This window comes from Homo sapiens, chromosome 3 (assembly GCF_000001405.40).
Source record: "Homo sapiens chromosome 3, GRCh38.p14 Primary Assembly".
In the NCBI taxonomy this organism is placed as follows: Eukaryota; Metazoa; Chordata; class Mammalia; order Primates; family Hominidae; genus Homo; species Homo sapiens.
In genome coordinates this window covers 60,456,024-60,483,361 of record NC_000003.12, presented here as the reverse complement: position 1 = coordinate 60,483,361, position 27,338 = coordinate 60,456,024, and the positions used below count along the sequence as shown (strand labels likewise).

Sequence of the window (27,338 nt, the reverse complement as noted above, 5' to 3'; positions counted from 1 at the left end):
CCTGGTTTTGGCATCAGGGTGATGCTGGCTTCATAAAATGACTTAGGGAGGAGTCCCTGCTTTTCAACTGTTTGGAATAGTTTCAGAAGGAATGACACCAGTTCCTCTTTGTACCTCTGGTAGAATTTGGCTGTGAATCCATGTGGCCTTGGGCTTTTTTTGGTCAGTAGACTGTTAATTACTGCCTCAATTTCAGAACTTATTATTGGTCTGTTCAAGGATTCAACTCCTTCCTGGTTTAGTCTTGGGAGGGGGTATGTGTCCCAGAATTTATCCATTTCTTCTAGATTTTCTAGTTTGTTTGCATAGAGGTGTTTATAGTATTCACTTATGGTAGTTTGTATTTCTGTGGTGTCAGTGGTGATATCCCTATTATCATTTTTTTATTGTGTGTATTTGATTCTTCTCTCTTTTCTTCTTTATTAATCTAGCTTGCTGTCTATTTTTTATTTTTTTCAAGAAAACCAGCTCTTGTCTTCATTTATTTTATTTTTGGAGGGTTTTTTGTGTCTCTATCTCCTTCAGTTCTGCTCTGATCTTAGTTATTTCTTGTCTTCTGCTGGCTTTTGGATTTTTTTCTCTTGCCTCTCTAGCTCTTTTAATTGTGATGTTAGGGTGTTGATTTGAGATCTTTCTAGCTTTCTGATGTGAGCATTTAGTGCTACAAATTTTCCTCTTAACACTGGGACACTCTGTGTCCCGGAGATTCTGATATGTTGTCTCTTTGTTCTCATTGGTTTCAAAGAACTTCTTGATTTCCGCCTTAATTCCATTATTTACCCAGGATTCACTCAGGATCATGTTGTTCAATTTCCATGTAATTGTGTGGTTTTGAGTGAGTTTCTTAATCATGAGTTCTAATTTGATTGCACTGTGGTCCTAGAGACTGTTATGATTTCAGTTCTTTTGCATTTGCTGAGGAGTGTTTTACTTCAAATTATGTGGTCGATTTTAGAATAATGCCACGTGGAACTGAGAAGAATGTGTATTCTGTTGCGTTGGGGTAGGGAGTTCTGTAGCTGTCTATTAGGTCCGCTTGATCCAGAGCCCTCCAGAGCTGAGTTTATGTCCTGAATATCCTCATTAATTTTCTGTCTTGTTGATCTAATATTAACAGTATGGTGTTAAAGTCTCCCACTATTATTGTGTGGGAGTCTAAGTCTCTTTGTAGGTCTGTAAGAACTTGTTTTATGAATCTCAGTGCTTCTGTATTGGTTGCATACATATTTAGAATACTTAGCTCTCCTTGTTCAATTGTTCCCTTTACCATTATGTAATAACCTTCTTTGTCTTTTTTGATCTTTGTTGGTTTAAAGTTTGTTTTGTCAGAGACTAGGACTGCAAGCTCTGCTTTCTTTTGCTTTCTATTTGCTTGGTAAATTTTCCTCCATTCCTTTATTTTGAGTCTATTTGTGTCTTTGTGTGTGAGATGGGTCTCCTGAACACAGCACACTGATGGGTCTTGACTCTTTATCCAATTTGCCAGTCTGTGTCTTTTAATTGGCGCATTTAACCCATTTACATTTAAGGTTCGTATTGTTATGTGTGAATTTGATCCTGTCATGATGATGCTATCTAGTTATTTTGCATACTATTTGATGCAATTTCTTCATAGTGCCATTGTTCTTTATATTTTGGTGTGTTTTTGCAGCAGCTGGTACTTGTTTCTCCTTTCCTTATTTAGTGCTTCTTTCAGAATCTCATGCAAGGCAGGCCTGGTGGTGATGAAATCCCTCAGCATTTGCTTGTCTGGAAAGGATTTTATTTCTCTTATGCTTATGAAGTTTAGTTTGGCTGGATATGAAATTCTGGGTTGAAAATTCTTCTCTTTAAGAATGCTGAATATTGGCCCCCAGTCTCTTCTGGCATGTAGAGTTTCTGCTGAGAGGTCCACTGTTAGTCTCATGGGATTCCCTTTGTTGGTGACCTGGCCTTTCTCTCTGGCTGCCCTTAACATTCTTTCCTTCATTTCAACCTTGGAGAATCTGATGATTATGTGTCTTGGGGTTGCTCTTCTTCTGGAGTATCTTAGTGGTGTTCTCTGAATTTTCTGAATTTGCATGTTGGTCTGTCTTGCTAGGTTGGGGAAGCTCTCCTGGATAATATCCTGAAGTGTGTTTTCCAGCTTGTTTCCGTTCTTCCCATCCCCTTCAGGTACTCCAATCAGTTGTAGATTCAGTCTTTTTATGAAGTCCCATATTTCTTGGAGGTTTTGTTCACTCCTCTTCATTCTTTTTTCTCTAGTCTTGTGGAACTCTTTGGGAATTTCCACCTAGATATAAAAGGATGTATGGAAATGCCTGGATGTCCAGGCGGAATTCTACTGCAGGGGCAGAGCCCTCATGGAAAACCTCTGCTAGGGCAGTACAAAGGGGAAATGTGGGGTTGGCACCCCCAAACAGAGTCCCCACACAGAGTCCCCACTGGGGCACTGCCTAGTGGAGCTGTGAGAAGAGGGCCACCATCCTCTAGACCCCAGAATGGTAGATCCACCAACAGCTTGCACTGTGCACCTGGAAAAGCCAAAGACACTCAACGACAGCTGTGAAAGCAGCCGTTGGGGAGTTGGGGGAGAGGGGTGTACCCTGCAGAGTCAGAGAGGTAGAGCTGCCCAAGGCCCTGGGATCCCTCTTCCTGCATGAGCATGCCCTGGATTTGATCCATGGAGTCAGAGGAGATCATTTTGGAGCTTTAAGATTTAATGACTGCCTCACTGGGTTTCGGATTTGCATGGGACCTGTGTCCCCTTAGTTTTGGCCAATTTCTCTCATTTGTAATGGGAACATTTACCCAATGCCTGTATATCCCCATTGTATCTTGTAAGTAACTAACTTGTTTTTGAGTTTACAGGTTCCTAAGTGGAAGGGACTTGCCTTGTCTTAGATGAGATTTTGGATGTGAACTTTTGTGTTAATGCTAGAATGAGTTAAGACTTTGGGGAACTGTTGGGAAGGCATGATTGCCTTTTGAAATGTGCAAAGGACATGAGATTTGAGAGGGACCAGCACTGGAATGATTTGGTTTGGCTGTCTTGCCATTCAAATCTCCTCTTGAATTGTAATCCCCAGATGTTGAGGGAGAGACCTGGAGAGAGGTGATTGGATCAGTTTCCCCCATGCTGTTCTCATGATAGTGAGGGAGTTCTCATGAGATGTGGTTATTTGATAAGTCTCCGGACTCTCCCCTGCTGGTTTTCTCTCTCTTTCTCTCCTGCCACTGTGGGAGACATACCTTGCTTTCTCTTTGCCTTCTGCCGTGATTGTAAGTTTCCTGAGGCCTCCCCAACCATGTGGAACTGTGAGTCAATTAAGCCTCTTCTCTTCATAAAGTACCCAGTCTCTGGTAATATCTTTATTGCATTGTGAAAATGGACTAATACAACATCAACCAGTATAGCCACGTATTATCATTATCAAGTATTATGTACTTTACGTCAGTAGCCCCCAACCTTTTTGGCACCAGGGACTGGTTTCATGGAAGACAATTATTCAACAGACAGGGGTCATGGGGGATGGACAGTTTTGGAATGAAACTGTTTTACCTCAGATATTCAGGCATTAGTTAGATTCTCATAAGGAGCATGCAACCTAGATCCCTCGCATGTGCAATTCACAATAGGGTTCATGCTTCTATCAGAATCTAATACCGACTCTGATCTGACAGGAGGTAGAGCTCAGGCAGTAATGCTCACTCACCCACTGCTCACCTCCCACTGTACTAACAGGCCACAGATGGGCACTGATCTGCAGCCAGGGGGTTGGGGACCCCTGCTGTACCTAATATGCAATACTTTTATATGACTGGCAGCACAGGTTCATTTATACCAGCATCACTGCAAACACATAAGTAATGTCTTGTGCTATGTCATTAAGACAGCTAGGATGTCACTAAGCAATAGGAATTTTCCAGATACATTATAATCTTATAGGACCACCATCATATATCCAGTAAATTGACTAAAATGTCATTACGTGGTGCATGACTGTATATATTTATGACCCTTCCTCTCCCTCCCCAACCATAGGTTTTCCATGCCTCTTGACCATTGTGTTTTGGATCAATTGGTATGATAGTCATCTCCTAGGACACTCAAAACTTTGTTTCTGAATATTTGCAAATGCTTTTGGGCATCACTGCATAACACTGTAACTTTGATGTCAGTTAAGGGACAAAGTCATATTTTCTTTCTTCCTTTGAGAATCAATAATGTGATCATACTTGCAGAGAAAGGCACGTCTGAACCATGGGCAAGCAGTACATTATTTTCAAATCTCTTTTCTCCCTAAGGCCCCTCAAGTCTAGTCCTCTTTGACAGTTTCATCATGAATGTTCTACAGTGTTGCTGTCCTGGGCAACCTTAGAAAAGTTCCATGGAAAACAATATAATTAATACAGTGTCTTTTACTGGATCCCATCTGTAATTCCCAGAGCAATAGTTATATTGCGTTTCATTTCAATAGCACACTCTGTGCTATGTGGCTTGGATTTGATATGTGGTGTGATTATACTCTCTGTGTCATTGGGAATTTTGAGTTTGTCTTTTATGAATACTTTTTCTGTGCCTTCAACATACTTTTATTTCATGTATTTGTTCATTTGTGCAAAAAAATGGAGCACCTTTTATGTCTAAAATGTTTTACAAGGTAAGTGAAGCAGCATGCAATATAGTGGGAGAAAAAGGTTATATGTAATGACTGTATCATAATGCCTGGCACATAAATGGTGGTGATTTTAGTGGCATCCTTACCCTGCTGCTCTTGAAGCTGTCATCATCATCATCATCACCACCATCACCATGATCGTTACTCTTCTCATACTTCTGCCAGATGCATTCTATTGTTTTTTTATGTAAAGTGCACTTTCTTTGCCGCAAGAGGCACTAAGAAATGACATAATCATAGTTAGGTCTAGAGATGGTAACACAGTCCTATCAAAGCCTACTTTGTTTTCAGTAAATGAAGTTCATTCATATTTGCTTGATTCCGTTTCCCTTGAATTTGTTGGCTAGGATTATTCCCCGATACATTGGCCAGCAAAAGACCCAGGTTAGTTAACCAATTGTTTGGAAGGGCCCTGGCTGTGCAGTCACACTGCCTGAGGTTAATTCCTGGTTCCCAATTTTGGTAGCTGTGTGAACTTCCTTTGTCTCATTTCTTCATCTGTAAGTGGGATGCATAAGGTTACTGCTGATTATTGGAAGAATTATGTTTGGTAGTGAAATAGGGCGCTTATCCAGTGCCTGGCATATTATGAGCAATCAGTATGTCAATGCTGTAGTTTTTATTGTTGCTCTAATTGTTGTTATTATTTTTGTTAGTACTTTTGTTGCAATTATTATTTTCTGCTGTGAAGACCAATTTCCTATTACCCAGCAAAGAATCTCCACGCTTCTCTATGGTATGCACTTTCTCCTTCCAGGGGTGAGCAAGCAGAACTCAAACTAGACCAAGATAATTCACCTTTCATTCGTACTATGAACAGGGTGAAAAAGTGTTGCTCCCTATCATATTAGAGAAGTTTGGGTAAAATCATTATAGGTTCTGAATTGATGATGATGAGCTCTCTGCCCTCCTTCCAAGATAAAAATGTTTACTATGGTCTCTACCTGATTCCTGAGACAAATGCAAGTTTGTGTTCTATACATGTTTATATCTACATGCCTATACCGATTGTTTACATATGTATATAAAAGGTTAAGTTAATCTTTTGGCATGAAATTCATCTACCAGAAAAATAATATGTGATTATTTGCAGTAGATCTAAAATGCAGACATTAATATGAAACTTTTTAACAGTAGCACTGTTCTCACTGAGCTGTGTGGAGATCTATAGAAATTATTACATAGTGTGGTTAGTGTGATGCCTGGCAAGAGAGTACACATTCAGTATGCATAAGCTAGTAATGATGTCAGAGAAGACTTAATAGAAAACCCAGCAAAAGAAATCCAAAGGCAGGCATAAACACTCAAATCCTCTCTCTGCATCTCTCTCAAAAGAAAAGTAGATGATCAAAGGAAAAGAATGAAATATTTTCTCATGCTCTTAGTAGCCTTCATTTTGTGTACAAGCCATTTTCCTGGTTTTTGTTATATTCAAGGTTATGTATAAAAAGATTCTGACCAGGAAATTGCATTAGAATAAGAACTGAAAAAAAAAAATCCATTTTGAAGACCTCAGGTAGTTAAAATTGTTCCTCCTTCCTCACCGTGGGTTAATGACAGACTTGCTTTTAATTCATTGCTTATTTTTGTAGGAAAAAAAGGTGGTGATTGTTTGAATATGATATTATAATACTTTGCTTAAAAGTACTGAACTATATTCAGCATATGCATGTAAACGAAACTGTATATACGTACTTAAACATATACAAACCATACATATATATATATATAGTTTGTTCTGTTTATGGTAATGTTGAGCTTTACCTGAGCCAAGTATTTTGGAAAATAGCACTAGGTGAAGAAATCCCCCACCCTTTGTCTTCTGGAAAAGGCTTCTTAAAAAAAAAAAAAATCCTTCCCCGGGTGTCCAGGACGAGACCAAATGATGCTCACTTAAGTACCTCCGACAAGGCCAGAAGCTGAGTTTTCACATTCCCGTTCTGCGCCTTATAAATGGTCAGCTGATTTGTTTATACCCAGTGCCCAAATAATCAACCAAACTTCAGTCAGGTGTGTCTCGCTCCCTAGGCCCTTGAACTTTGACCATGCCTTCAGCATTGGGATGCAGAGCAGCCTCTCCTTGAATACCCCTCCTGAGAACCAGCTGACCTTCAGGAGAAGCTTTCCCTAGTCAGTGCTCCCAGCTGATCTTTCTAGCCTTGCTTACCCCTCCCTATAAAAGAAAATTCCTTTCTGCCCAATCGTTGAGCTACTTGCACATCTCATGACCAGAGCTCTCCCTATTGCAGTAGTCTCACTCCCCTTATAGCAGTTACTTTTTCAAATAAAGTTTCTCTTATGTCTGGATTTGGTTTTAACTGGACGTTTGCGTTTATTCCCCCTGTGGCCTGTACCTGTTGCCTAGTTTGAGTTCTTAAAGCGCCTTCATACTAACAGTAATAGGAACTTCCTGTGTTCCAGTCTCTCCATGTGGTACTTTTGACACATTAGCTCTATTTTTCTGTCTCATACCAGGGAAATATTTTTATTTATATTTTACACTCAGGGACACTGAGGCTCAGGTACGTTAAATAACTTTGCAAATGGTGCATATCTCCTCAATGAGAGATGTAGACTTGGAAGATTTCTGTGACTGCACAGCCATCAGTTTTTCTACTATCTCACTTCTATTAACTCTTTGGGGTCACAGTTACTATAAAAACCAGTAATGATGATGACAGCTCTACTATTTCGGGAATTGTATGCCAGTTCTTGTGCCAAGTTCCCTGTGTGTTATTTCCCACATAATACACAATACTTTGTGGCATGCTTGTGTAGGGAAATCTGGGCATGAGTGGAAAAGATACGCTGAAGGGGACTGGAAGGGCCTTTTTCCCCTTGGAGACTCTTAATAAACTGTGTTATGCAACTGCATTTTGATTATGACCCATCACATGAGGTCAGGGGTGGAATTTTCCACTTGTGGCGTCAGCTCAGCACTCAAGAAGTGTCAGATTTGGGAGCATTTCAGATATTGGGTATTTGGTGTAGGGGTGCTTAACCTGTATTTACATGAAAGAAACGTGAGGTTTGAGCAAGTTGGCTGATTGGCCCAGGCCCATGAAGTTGACAGGTATCAAAGTGATGACAAAACTGATACCCTGCACCTTGTGAATTTCTGCAAACTACCTGGGTCCCTGGGTTGTAGCCCCTCCAGTGCCTACATCAGCTGCTGCAGTTTTAAGCGCACAAGTGCACCTCCAATTCATCAGTCCTTGTTTGCTTTGCCAGTATGAGTTTCTCTAAAGATGGAGCTTTGGTTTCAAAGTAATAATCACAGTATTCAATCTATTTTCTGTTTATGTTGAGATTAATGTTTATCACTTAAATAAATGATTGAATAGGGAAAGAATGTTTTTCAAACCTGTGGCATGCATCATTTCAGCTAAGGGAGAAAAACATTTAAGTTACTGAGTTACTTAACTCCCCTAACCTTTGCTTTGTCTCCTTTTCAGTACAATGGACATCTCAAGATACCTACTTTATAGAAATGTAGTGAAGATTAAAGAGATGAACAAAGAGTCTCTGGCCCAGTGCCTGGCACATAGTAAAACACTTCGACAGTTGCTACAGCAACTAGTAGTAATTCTAATAAGAGTTTTTCGTTTTCCCCCAAGCTATCTGTTTATATCAAAGGAGTATTTTGTATATTTCTGACATGAGCTAAGTTCTAAAGTAAGTAATGGCAGATAACTCAACCTGGTTCATTGTATTAATAACAGTCAGTTGTATTTGTGATTTAAGTAGTACTATTTAAAAATTGGAATTGTATTGTGTTGGCCAGGTGCGGTGGCTCACGCCTGTAATCCCAGCACTCTGAGAGGCTGAGGTGGGCAGATCAGGTTAGGTCAGGAGTTTGAGAACAGCCTGAGCAACATGGAGAAACCTCGTCTCTACTAAAAATACAAAAGTAGCTGGGTGTGGTGGCAGGCGCCTGTAATCCCAGCTACTCGGGAGGCTGAGGCAGGAGAATCTCTTGAACCCGGGAGGCAGAGGTTGTGGTGAGCCGAGATTGTGCCACTGCACTCCAGCCTGGGTGATAAGAGCGAAACTCCATCTCAAAAAAAAAAAAAATTGTATTGTGTTGAAAATAATACATTTGTGAAAATGAGCCTCCTAAGCTTTACTTCTACTGTTTTGAAAATGTAGTTAATGATTTCTTGCCTAATTATTAATAAATTCAAAAACTGCAATAAAAAATGAATATTGTAGAATTTCTAGAACACTCCAAAACTACTCATCAATTTAGCTCTATAAAATTGAACTGTAAACATGACTGGTGTTTTTATTATATATGAGTGTGACAGAAGCCCTTTGGGGCTTCATCTATTCTCTGTTGCTATATTCAGTTGATTTAAGATTCTGAGGCTTATTTTTTCATTAATTCTGAATTTTTCAAGTTAATGTAATATGAACACATGTTCCTTTTCCCATGGATGAAAAAATAAGCTTAATGAAGAAAATTATTTAGGCTTTGCTATACCAGAAGAAACTCTAGCCTTTGGTGCTGGTGCAGTCAGGGTTGACCCTCCCTGCCCTCTGTCTGCTTCATCTCCTTCATCTTCCTTGATTGCTGGGTAAGCAGACACATTCCCTGTCCTGATTGTGTCACTGCTGGTATTAGGATGAAAAATGCATCAGAATTTATGAAGATGTCTTTTTTTCTAGTTCTGAGTATGAGGTTCTTTAAATGTTTCCAAAATAATGTGTCTTTCCCCCATACATCTCCAGGTACAATTCTCTGTGAGGTTAGGTTTTCTTTTTTTCTTTTTTTTTTGGAAATGGAGTCTCGCTCTGTCACCCAGGCCAGAGTGCAATGGCGTGATCTCAGCTCACTGCAACCTCCTCCTCCCGGGTTCAAGTAATTCTCCTGCCTCGGCCTCCTGAGTAGCTGGGACTATACAGGTGCATGCTGCCACGCCTGGCTAATTTTTATTGTATTTTAGTAGAGACGGGGTTTCACTGTGTTGCCCAGGCTGGTCTCGAACTCCTGAGCTGAGGCAATCTACCAACCTTTGCCTCCCAAAGTGCTAGGATTACAGGCGTGAGCCACTGCGCCCAGCTGAGGTTAAGTTTTCATGTGCAAGTACCTCAAATCAGTATTTCCAAAGAAAATTTTTTGCCACCAAAGCACCACCTTTGTAGTTAGCCCTATTGGTTAATGGCCTTTTCATTGTCATGTATTTTAAGCCTGGCAATATTTTTCTCCCTTCTCCCAGGTTGTCTCTTCACATTGTATTTATTCTCTCTTGATAATGTCTCTCACATTCCCCTTTCTATTTCCACATCCATATCCTAAATTCAGATTGTCCCTCTCTCTTGAAATATGTTGAATAGGTTCTTAATTGAGCTCCCCACCTCCAGCTCCCCTCAGCCCTTTAGTTAATCTTGGAACAGTGCTCATGCAAATTAAGTGCTTTAATTACTCTTTGATTTGAATTGAATTTTATCGAAGAAGCCAGCTATCTGTGGATATGGAGTTTTCAGCGTTGGTTCATATCTTAACAGCAACACCTTGAGAGCAGAGTAGTACCACTTTCAAGTGCATATACCTATTTGTCAAAATTTCTTTGCATCATTTACTGTAACTCACTTCGGTTTGTAATCAACATAATAGCTTTTCCTTTTTCAAACTTTTTTTTAAAGCAAAGGATCAACTCTGGGACATGCATTTCATTGGTTTTAAAAGTTCTCAGTCTCTGGAAAATGAATATAATAAGAAACATTTCTATAATATAGCACTAAAGGAGATAAATGTCAGGTTGTCAGAAAACTTAAATGAATAATGGTATTTGAGGCATTTGTTTTTCTTGCAAATTGAGATACGATAATTACTGCTATTTAAATTCTCCACCCCCACCCCCAACTTGGTTTTGCTTAGATGTCTTTGGGATTGGGGGCTTTGGGACACACAAGTCATTTTTCTCTCCTGTCAGAAGTTCTTTAAGGATTAAAAACAATTTTTATTTTCTCTATGAGAAACCAAAGCATGTAAAGTTGAAAGGCAGCAAAGACGAGCGCTGCTTTTAAAACAGCATTGTACATGGCTCATGCCTGTAATCCCAGCCCTTTGGGAGGCCGAGACGGGCGGATCATGAGGTCAGGAGATCGAGACCATCCTGGCTAACATGATGAAACCCTGTCTCTACTACAAACACAAAAAAATTAGCCCGGCGAGGTGGCAGGTGCCTGTAGTCCCAGCTACTCGGTAGGCTGAGGCAGGAGAATGGCGTGAACCTGGGAAGTGGAGCTTGCAGTGAGCCGAGATCACGCCACTGCACTCCAGCCTGGGCAACAAAGCAAGACTTCGTCTCAAAAAAAAAAAAAAAAATACAGCATTGTACAATACTTTGCAAAATGAAGGTGGGCATGTAGTTTGAAGACATGCAAACCTTTATAAAATAAAAAAGTGGGCATACAGTTCGAAGTAATAAATGGGCCTAAGGACCTAAGGATGAACCAGTTGTTTTTGCCTCATTGAAATGCTTTTTTCTTAAATATATATCTTTCCTCTTGCTGTTGTTTTTGCTCTTTTTTTTTTTTAACAAAAAAGTAGACTGAGAGCTACTAGTGCAGTTACGTTACGTGGATATATTGTGTAGTGGTGATGTCTGGGCTTTAAGTGTACCCATCACTTGAATAGTGAACATTGTACCCAATAGGTAGTATTTCATCCCTCACCCCAAAATTGATTTAAAAGATGAAAACTCACTATGTAATTGTGGCATGCAATTAGGTTAATAAGTTATTAAAAATATGATCATTCATGTCAGCCTAATCTCTTTATTTGAAATATGACTCTGTTCATCTTACAGTTCAACATGGGAAGATTCCATGGCCATGCTTAGCGTGAAGGCTTTTTACTCATTTCAAGAATGTGAGAGGGGTGGGGTGGCAGGGGGAAGACAGAGCAAGATGGCCAAATTGAAGCCTGCAGTGGTTGTTCCCCGGCAGAAACACCAAATTGAACAACTGTACATACAAAAAAGTACCTTCATAAGAACAAAAGACCAGGTGGGTGATTGCAGTATCTGGTTTTAACAGTATATTAAGGAAAGAGGCACTGAAGAGGGTAGAAAAGACAGTCTTGAATGGTTGATGTCACCATTCCGCCATTCTCCTGCACAGTCCATGAGACGTGGAGAAAGAATCTTTGTGCTTGGGGGAAGGAGAGTGCAGTGATTGTGGGACTTTGTATTGTAACTCAGTGTTGCCCTGTCACAGTAGAAAGCAACACCAGGAAGAACTCAGCAGGTTCCCAAGGAGGGAGCATTTAGACCAGCCCTAGCCAGAGGCAAATTGTCCATGCCAATGGTCAGAACCTGAGTTCCGGCAAGCTCCACCACCACAGGCTAAAGTGCTCTGAAGTTCTAAATAAACTTGAAAGGCAGTCTAGGCCACAAGGACTGCAAGGAAAGTCCTGGTCCTGTACTGAGCTCAGAACCAGTGGACCTGGGGTACACATGACCTAAGAAGATATCAGCTGGTGAAGGGAGTGCTTGAGCTGCTCCCCACTAACTCTAGGCAACACAGCTCACAGCTCCAGGCAGCTCCTTCTTCCCTTTGTTTCAGAAGAGGAGAGGAGAGAGTAAAGAGGATATTGTTTTGCAACTTGGATACTAGTTCAGCCATAGTAGCATAGGGCACCAGGCAGAGTCCTGAGGCCTCTGTTCTAGGCCTTGGCTTCCAGACAGCGTTTCTAAACATACCCTGAGCTGGAAGAGAACCTGCTGCCTTGAATGAAGGGAGGGACTCAGTTCTTGCAGAGTGCATCACCTGCTAACCGAAGAGCACTGGGCCCTGAATAATCAGCAGTGATAGCCAAGCAGTACTTGCTGCAGGCCTTGAGTGAGACTCAGAGCCCTGCTGGCTTCAGTTGTGAACAGCACATTCCCAGCTGTGGTGGCTACAGGGAGAGATCCCTTCTGCTTGAGGAAAAGAGAGGGAAAAGTAAAGAGGACTTTATCTTGCCGCTTGGGTACCAGTTTGGCCACAGTATGGCAGAGGATCAAGTGGGCTCCTAGGATCTCTGATTTCAGGATTTGGCTCCTGAATGACATTCCTGGACCTGTCCTGGGCCAGAGGAAAGACAACTTCCCTGAGGAGAGAGACTCAGGACTGGCAGCATTCACCACAAGCTCACTGAAGAGCCCTTGGACCTCGAGTGAATGTCATTGGTAGCCAGGCAATACTCTCCATGTGCCCGGAGCAGTGGTGGTCAGAGAGATTCCTCTGCTTGAGGAAAGGAGAGGGAAGGGCAGAAAGGACTTTGTCTTATGGTTTGGGTGCCAGCTTAGCTGCGGTAGAATAGAGCACCAAGTAGATTTCTAAATTTCCCAACTCCAGGCCGTGACTCCCAGAAAACATCTCTGGACCTGACCAGAGCCAGAGAGAACTTACTGCCCTGAAGGGAAGGACACAAGCCTGGCAGGATTTCCCATATACTTATTGCAGAACCCTTGGGACTTGAGTTAACATAGGTGGTAGCCAGGCAGTAATTGTTGTAGGCCTTGGGTGAGACCCAGTGTTAGGCTGGCTTCATTTCTGACCCAATATAGTCCCAGTGGCGGTGGCCACAGGAGTGCTTGTGTCACCCCTCCCACAGCTTCAGGCAGCTCTGGAGAGAGAGAGAGAGAGAGAGAAAGAAAGAGAGAGGAGAGGGGAGAGAGACAGAGAGACAGAGACAGATTTCATCTGTTTGGAGGGAAGTAAGGGATGAGAACAAGAGTCTCTGCCTGGTAATCCAGGGAATTCTTCTGGAAGTTACCCAAGACCACCACGGTGGTATCTGTACAAGCCTGCAATAGCCACAGTGTTATTGGGCTTGGGGCACCCCTAAAGTAGAAACGGGTAAAGTGACCAAAAACTTAGATGACTACACCCATGTCCCTTCAAATACCTGGAAAGCCTTCCCAAGGATAGGCAGAAACAAGCCCAGACTGAAAAGACTACAGTGAATACCTAACTCTTCAAAACCCAGACACTGACAAACACCCAAAGCATCAAGACCTTCCAGAAAAACATGACCTCACCAAACTAAGTCACCTGTAGCCAATCCTGGAGAGAGAGAGAGATATGTGAGCTTTCAGAAAGGGAATTCAAAATAGCTGTTTTGAAGAAGCTCAGTGGAATCCAAGATAACACAGAGAAGGAGTTCAGAGTTGTATTAGACAAATCTAATGAAGAGAGGGAGATATAAAGAATCAAGCAGAGATTCTGGAGCTGAAAAATGCAGCTGGCCTACTGAAGAATGCATCAGAGTCTGTTAATAGCAGAAATAAGCAAAACAAAGAATTAGTGAGCTTGAAGACAAGCTGTTTGAAAATACACAGTCAGAGGAGACAAAAGAGAAAAGAATACAAAACAATGAAGCATGCCTGCAGAATCTACAAAATAGCCTCAAAAGGGCAATCTAAGAGTTATTGGCCTTAAAGAGGAGGCAGAGAGAGAGAGAGAAAAGTTAATTCAAAGGGATAACAGAAAACTTCCAAAACCTAGAGAAAGATATCAATATTTAAGTACAGGAAGGTAATAGAACACTAAGCAGATTTAACCCAAATAAGACTATCTCATGGCATTTAATGAACTCCCAAAGGTCAAAGATAAAGAAAGGATCCTAAAAGCAGCAAGAGAAAAGAAATAACAAAGATCTCCAAAATGTATGGCAGCAGATGTTTCAGTGGAAATCTTACAAGCCAGGAGAGAGTGATATTACATATTTAAAGTACTCAAGGAAAAAAAATCTTCTAACCTACAATAGTATATCCAGTGAAAATATCCTTCAAACATGTATATTTAGGAGAAATAAAGACTTTCCCAGACAAACAAAACACCAGAACTATCCTGCAAGAAATGCTAAAGGATTCTTTCTTCAATCTGAAAGAAAAGGATGTTAATGAGTAATAAAAAACTATCTGAAAGTAGAAAACTTACTGGTAATAGTAAGTACACAGAAAAATAAAGAATATCATAACACTATTGTAGTATGTAAACTACTCATATCTTGAGTGGAAAGACTAAACAATGAATCTATCAAAAATAATAACCACAACTTTTCAAGACATAGATAGTATGATATAAACAGAAACAACAAAAAGTTAAAAAGCAGGGGTATGAAAAGTATAGTGTTTTTATTAGTTTAATTGTTTATGCAATCAGTGTTGTCATCTGTTTAATATAATGGGTTACAAGATGTTATTTGCAAGCCTCACAGTACACTCAAAGCAAAAACTTAAAACAGATCTAGAAAAAATAAAAAAGCAAGCAATAAAAACATATCACTTGAGAAAATCACCTTCATTAAAAGGAAGACAGGAAGGAATGAAAGAAGAAAGAGAAGACTACAAAACAACCAGAAAACAAATAACAAAATAGCAGGAGTAAATCCTATTCATCAATAATAACATTGAATGTAAATGGACTAAACTCTAATCGAAAGATGTAGAGTGGCTGAATGGATAAATAAAACTAGCTGCAATGATCTGTTGCCTGCAAGAACACACTTCGCCTATAATATAAAGACACACATAGACTAAAAATAAAGAGATATGGAAGAAGATGTTGCATGAAAATAGAAACCAAAAAGAGCAGGAGGAGCTATGCTTATATCAGACAAAATAGCCTTCAAGACAAAAACTATGGTAAGAGACAAAGAAGGTCATTATATGACAAAGGGGTCAATTCAGCAAGAGATATAACAATTGTAAATATATATGCACCCAACACTGGAGCACTCATATATGTTATGTAAAGTTATTATTAGATAAGACCCCAATACAATAATAGCTGGAGACTTCACCCACTGTCAGCATTGGAAATATCATCCAGACAGAAAGTCAGCAAACATCTTACTTAATCTGCAGTACAGACCAAATGGACCTAATAGACATTTACAGAACATTTTATCCAATGGCTGCAGAGTACACATTCTTCAGCTCATGGATCATTCTCGAGGAAAGACCATATTTCAGGCCACAAAACAAATCTTAAAACATTTTTTTAAAAATTATGTCAAATATCTTCTCTGACCACCATGGAATAAAATTAGAAATCAATAACAGCTGAAATTTTGGAAATTATACAAACACATGGAAATTAAACAATATGCTTCTGAATGACCAGTGGGTCAATGAAAAAATTAAGAAAATTTTAAAAATATATTGAAACAAATGAAAATGGAAACGCAATGTATCAAAACCTATGAGATATGGTGAAAGCAGTATTCAGAGGAAAGTTTATAGTAGTAATTGCCTACATCAAAAAGTAGAAAAACTAATGATACATTTTAAACAACTAGAAAAGCAAGTGAAAACCAGACCCAAAATTAGTAGAAGGAAAAATAAAGATCAGAGCAGAAATAAATGAAATTGAAATGAAAAAATACAAAAGGTAAATGAAACAAAAAGTTGTTTTTTTGAAAAAAGAAATCAAATTGACAAATCTTCAGAAAAAAAGAGAAGACCCAAATAAAATTAGAGATGAAAAAGGAGACATTACAATTGATATCATAGAAATTCAAAGATCATTAGAAGATACTGTGAGCTACTATATACCAATAAATTGGAAAACCTAGAAGAAATGGATATGTTTCTAGACACACACAACCTACCAAGATTGAACCACTAAGAAATGCAAAACCTGAACAGACGAAGTAATGAGATCAATGCCATAATGAAGTCGCTCAGCAAAGAAAAGCGCTAGATTTGATGGCTTAACTGCTGAATTTTAGCAAATGCGTAAAGAACCACTAATACCAATGCTACTCAAACTGTTTCATAAAACTGATGAGGAAGGAATACTTGCAGATTCATTCTAGGAGGCTAGTATCACCCTGATACAAAAACCAGACAAAGGCACATTAAAAAAAAAAAAAAAAAACTGCAGGCAAGTAACCCTGATGAATATAGATGCAAAAATCCTCAACAAAATACTAACAAACTGAATTCAGCAACACATTAAAAAAAGCATTTATCATGACCAAGCGGGATTTATTCCAGTTACGCAAGGATGGTTCAACATATGCAAATCAATCAATGATACATCATATGAACACAAGGACAAAAACGATATGATTATTTCAATTTTTGCTGAAAAAGCATTTCATAAAATTCAACATCCTTTCATGATTAAAAACCCACAGAAACTGTGTATAGAAGGAACATACCTTGACACAATAAAAGCCATATATGACAGACCCACAGCTAATATAGTGAAGGGGAAACACCTGAAGGTTTTCTCCCTACAATCTGAAATGAGACAAACATGCTCACTTTCACCACTGTTATTCAACATAGTACTGGAAGTCATAGCTAGAGAAATCAGACAAGAGAAAGATATAAAGGGTATCCAAGTTGGATGTCAAATTATCCTTGTTTGCAGATGATACGATCTTATATTTGGAAAAATCTAAAGACTCTACCAAAAAACTATTAGAACTGATAAACAAATTGAGTACAGTTGCAAGATATAAAAATCAACATACAAAAATCAGTAGCATTTTTATATGCCAACAGTGGACAATCTGAAAAATAATTCAAGAAAGTAATTCCATTTACAATAACTACAAATCAACTACCTAGGAATAAACTTAACCAGAGAAGTGAAAGATGTCCACAGTGAAATCTATAAAACATTGATGTAAAAAATTGAAGAGGACACAAGATAAATGGAAAGATATTCCATGTTCATGGTTTGGAAGAATCAATACTGTTAAAATGCCCATTCTATCCAAAGCAATCTGCAGATTCAATGCAATCCATATAAAAATACCAATGACATTCTTCATGAAAATAGAAAAAAATAATCTTAGCATTTACATAATACCACAAAAGACCCAGAATAGCTAAAGCTATCCTGAGCAAAAAGTACTGGAGGAATCACATTATCTGACTTCAAATTATACTACAGAGATATAGTAACCAAAACAGCATGGTACTGGCATAAAAACAGACACATAGACCAATGGAACACTATAGAGGACCCAGAAATAAATCCATACATCTACAGCAAACTCATTTTCAACAAAGTTGCCAAGAATATGCATTGAGGAAAACACAATCTCTTCAGTAAGTGGTGCTGGGAAAACTGAATATCTATATGCAGAAGAATAAAACTAGACCCCTATCTCTTGCCATATACAAAAATCAAATCAAAATGGATTAAAGACTTAAATATAAGACCTCAAACTATGAAACTTCTACAAGAAGACACTGGGGGAACTCTCCAGGACATTGGTCTTGGCAAAGATTTCTTGAGTAATACCCTACAAACACAGTTAACCAAAGCAAAAATGGACAAATGGGATAGCTTAAGTTAAAAAGCTTCTGCATAGCAAAGTAAACAAATTTGAAGAGCAAATTTGAAAGCAATTTGAAGAGACAACTCACAGAATGGGAGAAAATATTTGCAAACTATTCATCTGACAAGGGGTTAATAACCAAAATATATAAGGAGCTCAAACAATTCCATAGGAAAAAAAATCTAATAATCTGATTAAAAAATGAGCAGAGATCTGGATAGACATTTCTCAAAAGAAACATACAAATGGCAAATATATGAAAAGGTTCTCAACATAACTGATCATCAGAGAAATGCAAATCAAAACTACAGTAATATCCCAGTTAAAATGGCTTATTGAAGAGGACACAAAATAATGAAAAGATATGCAAAAGACAGGCAATAACAAGTGCTGGAGAGGACGTTGAGAAAAGTGAACTCTCATACATTGTTGGTGGGAATGTAAATTAGTACAACCACTGTGGAGGACAGTTTGGAGGTTACTCAAAAGACTAAAGAGCTACCATATGATCCAGCAAACTCGCTGCTAGGTATATACCCAAAAGAAAGGAAATCAGTGTATTGAAGAGCTATCTGTACCCCCGTGTTTATTGCAGCATTGTTCACACTAGCCAAGATTTGGAAGCAACCTAAGTGTCCCTAACAGAGGAATGGATAAAGAAAATATGATACATATACACAATGGAGTACTATTCAGCTATAAAAAAGAATGATATCTTGTCATTTGCAACAACCTGGATGGAACTGGAGGTCATTGTGTTAAGTGAAATAAGCCAGGCACAGAAAGACAAACATCACATGTTCTCACTTCTTTGTGAGAACTAAAAATTTAAAACAACTGAGCTCACGGAAAGAGAGAGTAGAAGGATTGTTACCAGAAGCTGGGAAGGGTAGTTGGGGAGGGGGAGATGGTTAATGCATACACAGATGTTGTTACATATGATGTATAAGATCTAGTATTTGATAGCATAACAGGGTGACTACAGTCAACAGTAATTTGTTGTACATTTTAAAATAGCTTAAAAATATGATAGGATTGTTTGTAACACAAAGGATAAATGCTTGAGATGATGTATATCCCATTTACCCTACGTGATTATTATGTATTGTATTCCTGCATCAAAATATCCCTTGTACCCCATAAATGTACCTACAACATATCTTATATGTACCCACAACAATTTTTTAAAAAAATGAATGCAGGGGAACCTAGAAATACCTAGTTCTTTTCCTTGAGTCAAGCCTTTTGAGCAAGAGACAAGATCTTTTAGTGAACTCAGTTCTGCCATAGTGTTGCTATGGTGGTTTTACTTGTTTACTTCTGTTTTTTCACAGGATTTCAAGGCATATTAGGATGTTATGATGATGATTCCAAACTGTGCAAATAAAGGGCAAATTACATGTTCTTCCACAAAAGGAGCTTCTGTTATCCCTCTTTGCCACACACTTGCTAGAATGGCCAAAGTAGTTGTTATTTTCTTAAAGTTAAACTGATTCGTGGATAATAATTAACAGCTGCTATCATTAACCTTTATTGTGTCAGGCCCTGTGCCAATTATTTAATCTTACCACAACAGGGTAAGGTACATATTGTGATTGTCTCCATTTTACATAAGTTAACACTGATGCCCAGAGAAGTTAAGTAAATTGCCCAAAGCCAGAGTTTCAACTGGTCTAAGTTTTTTTGATTGGAAACCATGTCTATTTTCTGGGCAACTTCTCTGGGCATGCTATAACCTCCCACATGGACAGCTTGGCAAGTTCATGCCTTATTACAGTTTGAAATGTTACACGTCCCCTTCCTTTCCCCAGTAAATGATGGGTTTCCTAGACGTTTTATTTCTCTGTTCTGAGAAGGAGAAATGGAAGGAGGAGAAAGGATGGCGGGGGAGAGGAGTAATGTGTATATTTAGTCACTATCAATGACATTTTAGGGCCAATAGGGCCAACTGAAACAGAGTTCTGCCCACAGTTAGTGTTTCATTGGTTAGCCTTATGTGATTAAATCCTTCTAAATGCAATTAAATCCTTATCAACCAAAAGAAGAAAAATTATGTTCTCTTTAGGGAAATAAGTATAGATATATCATTTTCCTTAGATTTGTGAACTATTTCTTCAGAAAACCAAAGCTGATTCCCAAGAGACAAGAAAAACAGGATTTTTTTTTCCTTCTCAACATTTACATGAAATAACACCTAAGTACTTTAAAGTGTGAACACATGTCCCATGGTACTCAATGATGTGATATATCTGTTGCCTTCTGCCACCTACAAATGAAGAAAAGATTTTGAAGAGAGTAACATCATTTTTAAACTTTCTTATTTGTGAAGTTCCCTTGCCATGCTAAAGCCTGAGGAGCCAATGCATTGCCTCCAGGTGGTGAATGTTGGGTAGAAATTAGCTGGAGCAGCTGCTCCCTCAGTGTGGCACAGCACAGAGGTGGTCAGTGCACATCAGGCTGTGACAATATGACCAGGAATACATGGAGTGATACAGAGCAGGGTTGGTTTTGTGTCGGCCTGCCTATTGGGAGGACTGTGCCATGACTGTGTAGATACAGCCAGAAAAGTCTTTTGGACTCACAAGTATTAGCCCAGTGATCTCCCTGCAGCATGCCCTCAGTGGCTCCCCAGCTGTCTTAGCCCGGTCCAGCATGGTTGGCACCTTCCTGTCTTTCCTTGTCCGCCTGGGGCCATAACCTCCTGTTTGCCACCCTCCTATGTTCTCTGTCCTGATGGGCTGAATTCTAGTCCTCCTGCTCTCCAAGCCCTTTATCCTGGCGGATCTCTTGCTTTTGCTCCTACCTCGATGCTCTTCCCTCCTCTCTTCACTACCCTGCTTTCCGCTCTCAGCTCCTGCATTAATTCCTCAGTGGTGTTCTCCCTGCCTTGGTCAGATCCTCTAATTATACATTCTTTTCACACCCCATGCCTTTCTGTCGAGGACTTGCCCTAGGTGCATTTGACATTTGGGTTCTTACAGTGTTTGGGAGAGGAGGTAGGGTTGAGTGGTTGAGCCATGGGCACTCAAGCCATACCGTTGGCTTCAAACCAAACTTGGCCACTTAGCAACCTTGCCAACTCTGTGCCTCAGTGGCTCCTCTGTAAAAGGGGAGTGATCACTGTACCTCATTCTTAAAGGTGTGGTGGAGAGTAAATGAGTTGATATTAGAACGGCAGCTGATGTCTAGAATGGGCTTACTGCATGGTAGCTCTCTTTAATATTTGATGTAATGATCATCCTTCCATTAGATTGTGAACTCCAGGCAGACAAGGGCTATAACTGTTTTTGTTGCATAACATCCCCCCGGTCCTGCTGAAATGCCTCACTCACTGTGGGGCACCCATTCAGTGTTAGTTTTTACTGTGTACCAGCACTGAGTCAGGCGAACTGAAGACTTCAACCTCGGTTTCAACCGGTAGTCTGTCATAGGATTTACAGATTCATGTAACGCTCTTGACAGGGATGGTTATAGTTTTTACCTGGCTTAAAGGGGGGCGGGGGTTCCCTTTTTTTAAAATCAATTTCAATCTTATTTGGAAGCTCAGTGTATCAAACACATTCAAAATAGAGGTGCTTTGCTTAGGAAAGAGCATGGCTTGTTTGGGATCCCCCATCCTTATCCTGCCTCTGACTGCCTCTGGAAACCTTTGCCCTAAATAATGATGGTCTGCTTTCTAAGGCTATTGGGTGAGAGACCAACTTGGAATGCTTAATAAGCAAGCATGGAAGTAACTTGCAGAAGAAAAAAGACTTCAGCCTTTTAATGTCAAAAATATCAAATAGGGAATAATTTCAAGTGGTGATGTCAGGGACAGCTGCGTTGTCTGTACAGCGTTGGAGAGAAGATCCTGCTTCGGCATAGCCTATGATTTTGAAGGCTACTCTATAGCTGCCACCTTTCATCTTAAAGAAAAAGGATTTTAATTATGACAATGAGAACAAGATGACATATTGTTTTATTAGTTGCTTAATTTTATTTAGCTGACTCACTTAGTATGGGAATGTCTCTAGGGGCTGCTGGAGAGTCTCTTTCTATAAAAGGAGAGAGATCCCAAGAGGCAGATTTGTTTAAGAGTGTTGCATAATGTGCTCTACGTCTTGGGTTTCTACCATTCTCAGGTTATGAACTGTAGAGCTGGATTTTTTTGGTAATTTTTCTAATCAAAAGGAAAATCAATAAGGCTCACTACTGAATAACATATTTAATAACTTGATAAAATAATCAGAGTTTTTGGCACTTACAGAATTAGATTAAATAAAGATTTTATTTTTCAGTGTGAAGAAAAAATTTTTATTAGTTACCATAGTGAAATGGGAAGAGTATTTTTTTGCCGTTAACGTTAAGGGAGTTTTCTTAAAGAAAGTGTTCTGTGCCAGGGTTGTTACATATGGTATTCTCTTTTGTTATTTTTTAAACTTAACCTTAAAATATATTTCCTTTAAATAGATTCCTAAGTTTGGGACTGATGACTAAGGTTCCCTTAAATTTGTACGTACTTAAGTTGATTCACTACTTCCAACATGAATTATATTCTGAACAAGGAAAGAAAAAATATTTAGCTGTTATGGGCCATCTGGCTTTAAAATGTAGAGAATTGTCTTCCAGCCTGCATCTATTTTAGAGTGACTATTGGATCAGAATTCCAATGAATCTGAAACAGTAGATTCACAAATTAAACTTTAATGCTTTGAGGATTGTAAATCACAGCACATGTGGGGTGATACATGTTTTGGGAGAGATGGATCCTCCTGACCCACATGTAAAAAATTAAAGCTGTCTGTATTCTGTGTTTATTGAATGTATTTATTTTACCAAGGTGGATCTGAATAAACAGTTTCTAGGTTTATAATATTATTGGGATTTTTTAAAACTAAAAAATTCGTTTAGTTGAATTATGCAATATAAATCCTTAGCAATATCCCCAAAAAGTTTTTCCAAAGAAGTAATATTGGTTCTTGATGTTTCCTCATGGTTCTTTTTTTTTTAACCAATATAAAAGCAAATTTTAAAAAAAGGTGTTATTTCCCTTGGAAGGAAGCTGTGATTCCCATGGTTGGTTATTAGTCCAAAGCCGTGGAACTTCTTTCCTTATAAACCTCTCATTCTGGCAAGACAGGACACTTGGACAATGATTTTCCTAATAAGTATAACCAAAAGACTTTCCCTAATTTTAATGTTTCCCAAAATAAGTCCTCATCAGATTTGCCCCCCGAAAGGTAAGTGAGGAAAGTTCAAGACAAGTTTGATAGACATATTTGTTGAAGACATTTCTTAATTTCAGATTTTTTGATATGTGAATATGCCAGTTACGAACTTCTGAAAAGAGGGTTGTGGAGAGGAGGACTATAAGAAGTAGTGTTTTCTGAACTATTTTGACCTTTGGCTATTTTACAGGACTTTTGGGTTGCTGATTGCAACATGAGAGAAGGACATCTTGTCTGGTGGGCATATACATGTACATAGCCTTTTTAAGAGAAGCTTTTGGGTTTGATATGGCAGTAGATTGCCCTGCTCACCTCCCCAACCCCAATATATTTGAACATTTCTGAAATTGGGATGCGGTTTACAATCATTCCATGTGTTTTCTTGTTTTTTAACTTGCAGGAATGCTGTTAATGAACTGAGAGTGCCTTAAAATTAATTAAGTAATTCAGCTTTTAATTTTAATTTGTTCATGCTCAGCCTACTGACTTTGCAAGAAGTACAGTATTAAGTGAAAAGCATTGAAGGAGAGGAAAAAGGCTATTTTGTGGAAAATGTCTTTATAATCAGCTTTATTGTTTAGAAGATCTAGAATCTGGTTAAAAAGCAAAATGAGCCATGCTTTTTGGCAGCTTATTGTGGTTTCAAACCACTGCTAAGCGCGTTGTACCTATGTATCTGTGGTAGCTATTACTGCCCCATTTTGAAAGTGAGGGCATTGAAACTCAAAGAGGTGCTGTAATTTATCTACCTTAATAGCTGATGGAGAATGAGATTTTAGTCTCAGGCAGTCTCATTTTTCCCAACCCACTCTTTGTTTTAGTTAATTGATCTTTGACATTTATTTACTTGGTGTATACTATCTTTATACCTTTGCATTATGGCATATACCAGTGATTTCTGGAACTAGGTCATTATTAGAATCACCTTGGAAACTTTGGTAAACTATAAATTTCTGGCTCAACCCTTAAAATATACTAATTCACTAGCTCTGGGATGTAGCTTGTATTTTAAACATTAATGTAAAAGCTCCAAGTGATTTTGATGAAGCTAGAATTGAGTATGACATCTAAACACATTATAAAAAATGCTTTTCTTTCCACCAACGATAAAAATGGGCTGGGCACTGTGGCTCATGCTTGTAATCCCAGCACTTTGGGAGAACAAGGTAGGAGGATCGCTTGAGCCCAGGAGCTCGAAACCAGCCCTAGCAGCATAGTGAGACTTTGTTTCTAAAAAAAAAAAAATAAGACAAATTAGCCAGGTGTGGTGGTGTACATTTGTAGTCCCAGCTTGCTTGGGAGGCTAAGGTGGGAGGATCCCTTGAGCCTAGGAGTTCAAGGCTGCAGTGAGCCGTGATTTGTGCCACTGCACTCCAGCCTGGGCGACAGAGTGAGACCATGTCTTTAAAAATATATATAGTAGAATGCACATAGCCCCCATATCATGAAGAACGTAATTGAATGATGTATGACTCCTGTATCAGCTTTTGACATCTAGAGTTGGCGGTCAAGGTGTGTTGAGAAAGCAGATGGGCATAAAAACCTAAAGCTACTGGGTACCTTTGCCTGAAATATATAACGGTGATTTCTTTTATTATTATTATTATTATTACACTTTAAGTTTTAGGGTACATGTGCACAACATGCAGGTTAGTTACATATGTATACATGTGCCATGTTGGTGTGCTGCACCCATTAACTCATCATTTAACATTAGGTATATCTCCTAATGCTATCCCTCCCCCCTCCCCCCACCCCACAACAAGCCCCTGTGTGTGGTGTGTGATGTTCCCTTTCCTGTGTCAATGTGTTCTCATAGTTCAATTCCCACCTATGAGTGAGAACATGCGGTGTTTGGTTTTTTGTCCTTGCCATAGTTTGCTGAGAATGATGTTTCCACCTTCATCCATGTCCCTACAAAGGACATGAACTCATCATTTTTATGGCTGCATAGTATTCCATGGTGTATATGTGCCACATTTTCTTAATCCAGTCTATCATTGATGGACATTTGGGTTGGTTCCAAGTCTTTGCTAGTGTGAGTAGTGCCGCAATAAACATACGTGTGCATGTGTCTTTATAGCAGCATGATTTATAATCCTTTGGGTATATACCCAGTAATGGGATGGCTGGGTCAAATGGTATTTCTAGTTCTGGATCCCTGAGGAACCGCCACACTGACTTCCACAATGGTTGAAGTAGTTTACATTCCTACCAACAGTGTAAAAGTGTTCCTATTTCTCCACATCCTCTCCAGCACCTGTTGTTTCCTGACTTTTTAATGATCACCATTCTAACTGGTGTGAGATGGTATCTCATTGTGGTTTTGATTTGCATTTCTCTGATGGCCAGTGATGATGAGCGTTTTTTCACGTGTCTTTTGGCTGCATAAATGTCTTCTTTTGAGAAGTGTCTGTTCATATCCTTCGCCCAGTTTTTGATGGGATTCTTTGTTTTTTTTCTTGTAAATTTGTTTGAGTTCATTGTAGATTCTGGATATTAGCCCTTTGTCAGATGAGTAGATTGCAAAAATTTTCTCCCATTCTGTAGGTTGCCTGTTCACTCTGATGGTAGATTCTTTTGCTGTGCAGAAGCTCTTTAGTTTAATTGGATCCCATTTGTCAATTTTGGCTTTTGTTGCCATTGCTTTTGGTGCTTTAGACATGAAGTCCTTGCCCATGCCTATGTCCTGAATGGTATTGCCTAGGTTTTCTTCTAGGGTTTTTATGGTTTTAGGTCTAACATTTAAGTCTTTAATCCATCTTGAATTCATTTTTGTATAAGGTGTAAGGAAGGGATCCAGTTTCAGCTTTCTACACATGGCTAGCCGGTTTTCCCAGCACCATTTATTAAATAGGGAATCCTTTCCCCATTTCTTGTTTTTGTCAGGTTTGTCAAAGATCAGGTGGTTGTAGATATGTGACATTATTTCTGAGGGCTCTGTTCTGTTCCATTGGTCTATATCTCTGTTTTGGTACCAGTACCATGCTGTTTTGGTTACTGTAGCCTTGTAGTATTGTTTGAAGTCAGGTAGTGTGATGCCTCCAGCTTTGTTCTTTTGGCTTAGGATTGACTTGGCAATACGGGCTCTGTTTTGGTTCCATATGAACTTTAAAGTAGTTTTTTCCAATTCTGTGAAGAAAGTCCTTAGTATCTTGATGGGGATGGCATTGAATCTATAAATTACCTTGGGCAGTATGGCCATTTTCATGATATTGATTCTTCCTACCCATGAGCATGGAATGTTCTTCCATTTGTTTGTATCCTCTTTTATTTCATTGAGCAGTGGTTTGTAGTTCTCCTTGAAGAGGTCCTTCACCTCTCTTGTAAATTGGATTCCTAGGTATTTTATTCTCTTTGAATGTAAGGGTGCTTTCATGCCTCCTGATCCATATAGTCTTGATGTATTAAAAGTCTTCATTAAGAATAACTTCAGTGTAAACTGTCATGGATGGATTTGGGTAAGATGTCAACACACACATGATCTTCCACTCTTCAGTGCTGATATCAGTAAAAAAGAAGCCTCTCTAATCTGCCTCCAAATAGCTGCAGCTTCTTTGATCTAGTCTAATCAGAGGAACAAGCCCATTAGGGGTTAAAAGATTCTCTGCTGCTGCTGCTGCCATTAACTTAATTGCTATGATACAGTAAACTATGGGGAAGTCGAGTTAAATGCTGAAGTCTTTAGGGCAAGAGACTAAATAGGTTAGTTCCATAATTAATGTTGTATTTAAGAAGGTACATAGTGTTCCCCAAAGTGTGACCTTGCAGAAGTGACAATTATGTCTGAAGTCAGCATGAAAGTGAAGTAACAATTCAATTCTGGTTTGGGGAAGTGTGTGGGAGTGAATGTGGCAGAGTAGGTGTGAAATAAATGTTCTTTAGCATCAGTGAAGATTTGTCGGTAACCATCATTTCAGATATCTGGGAGTTGTGCAACCCTTCTGTTCTTTCTGAGTCATATATGTTTTTTAAAAAGTTATACTTTAAAAATATTTGTGAATATTTAAAGGCAACACTGTATCTTGTGTGTACAAACCCATCTGTGGGCTGACATTATTCAGGGGCATGTGATCAGATGTGGATTAATTGCATGTGGTGGAGCTTTTTATGCCAACTCTTTCAGATATTCTAGCTCACTGGCAGTGTCTTCATGAACGTGGATTGGCCATC

At 39.1% G+C, this 27,338-nt stretch overlaps 1 protein-coding gene across 6 annotated transcripts in view, besides 3 other annotated features; it reads left to right on the top strand.

Annotated features, from left to right (window-relative positions):
• Nucleotides 1-7,677: part of a biological region, named in NCBI's record as "origin of replication at fragile site FRA3B", that runs on past the window's edge.
• Nucleotides 1-27,338, top strand: part of FHIT (fragile histidine triad diadenosine triphosphatase) — a 1,504,176-nt gene that overhangs the window by 768,091 nt on the left and 708,747 nt on the right. The gene's annotated exons all lie outside the window — the stretch shown is intronic.
• Nucleotides 4,681-7,677: an origin of replication, noted in NCBI's record as "Ori 1; region of peak nascent strand synthesis determined by microarray hybridization of labeled, size-fractionated nascent DNA". NCBI's record gives the evidence for it as "EXISTENCE:nucleotide analog incorporation evidence [ECO:0001107][PMID:19815620]".
• Nucleotides 7,256-7,382: an origin of replication, noted in NCBI's record as "Ori 1; amplicon 3; peak of nascent strand synthesis determined by quantitative PCR of labeled, size-fractionated nascent DNA". NCBI's record gives the evidence for it as "EXISTENCE:nucleotide analog incorporation evidence [ECO:0001107][PMID:19815620]".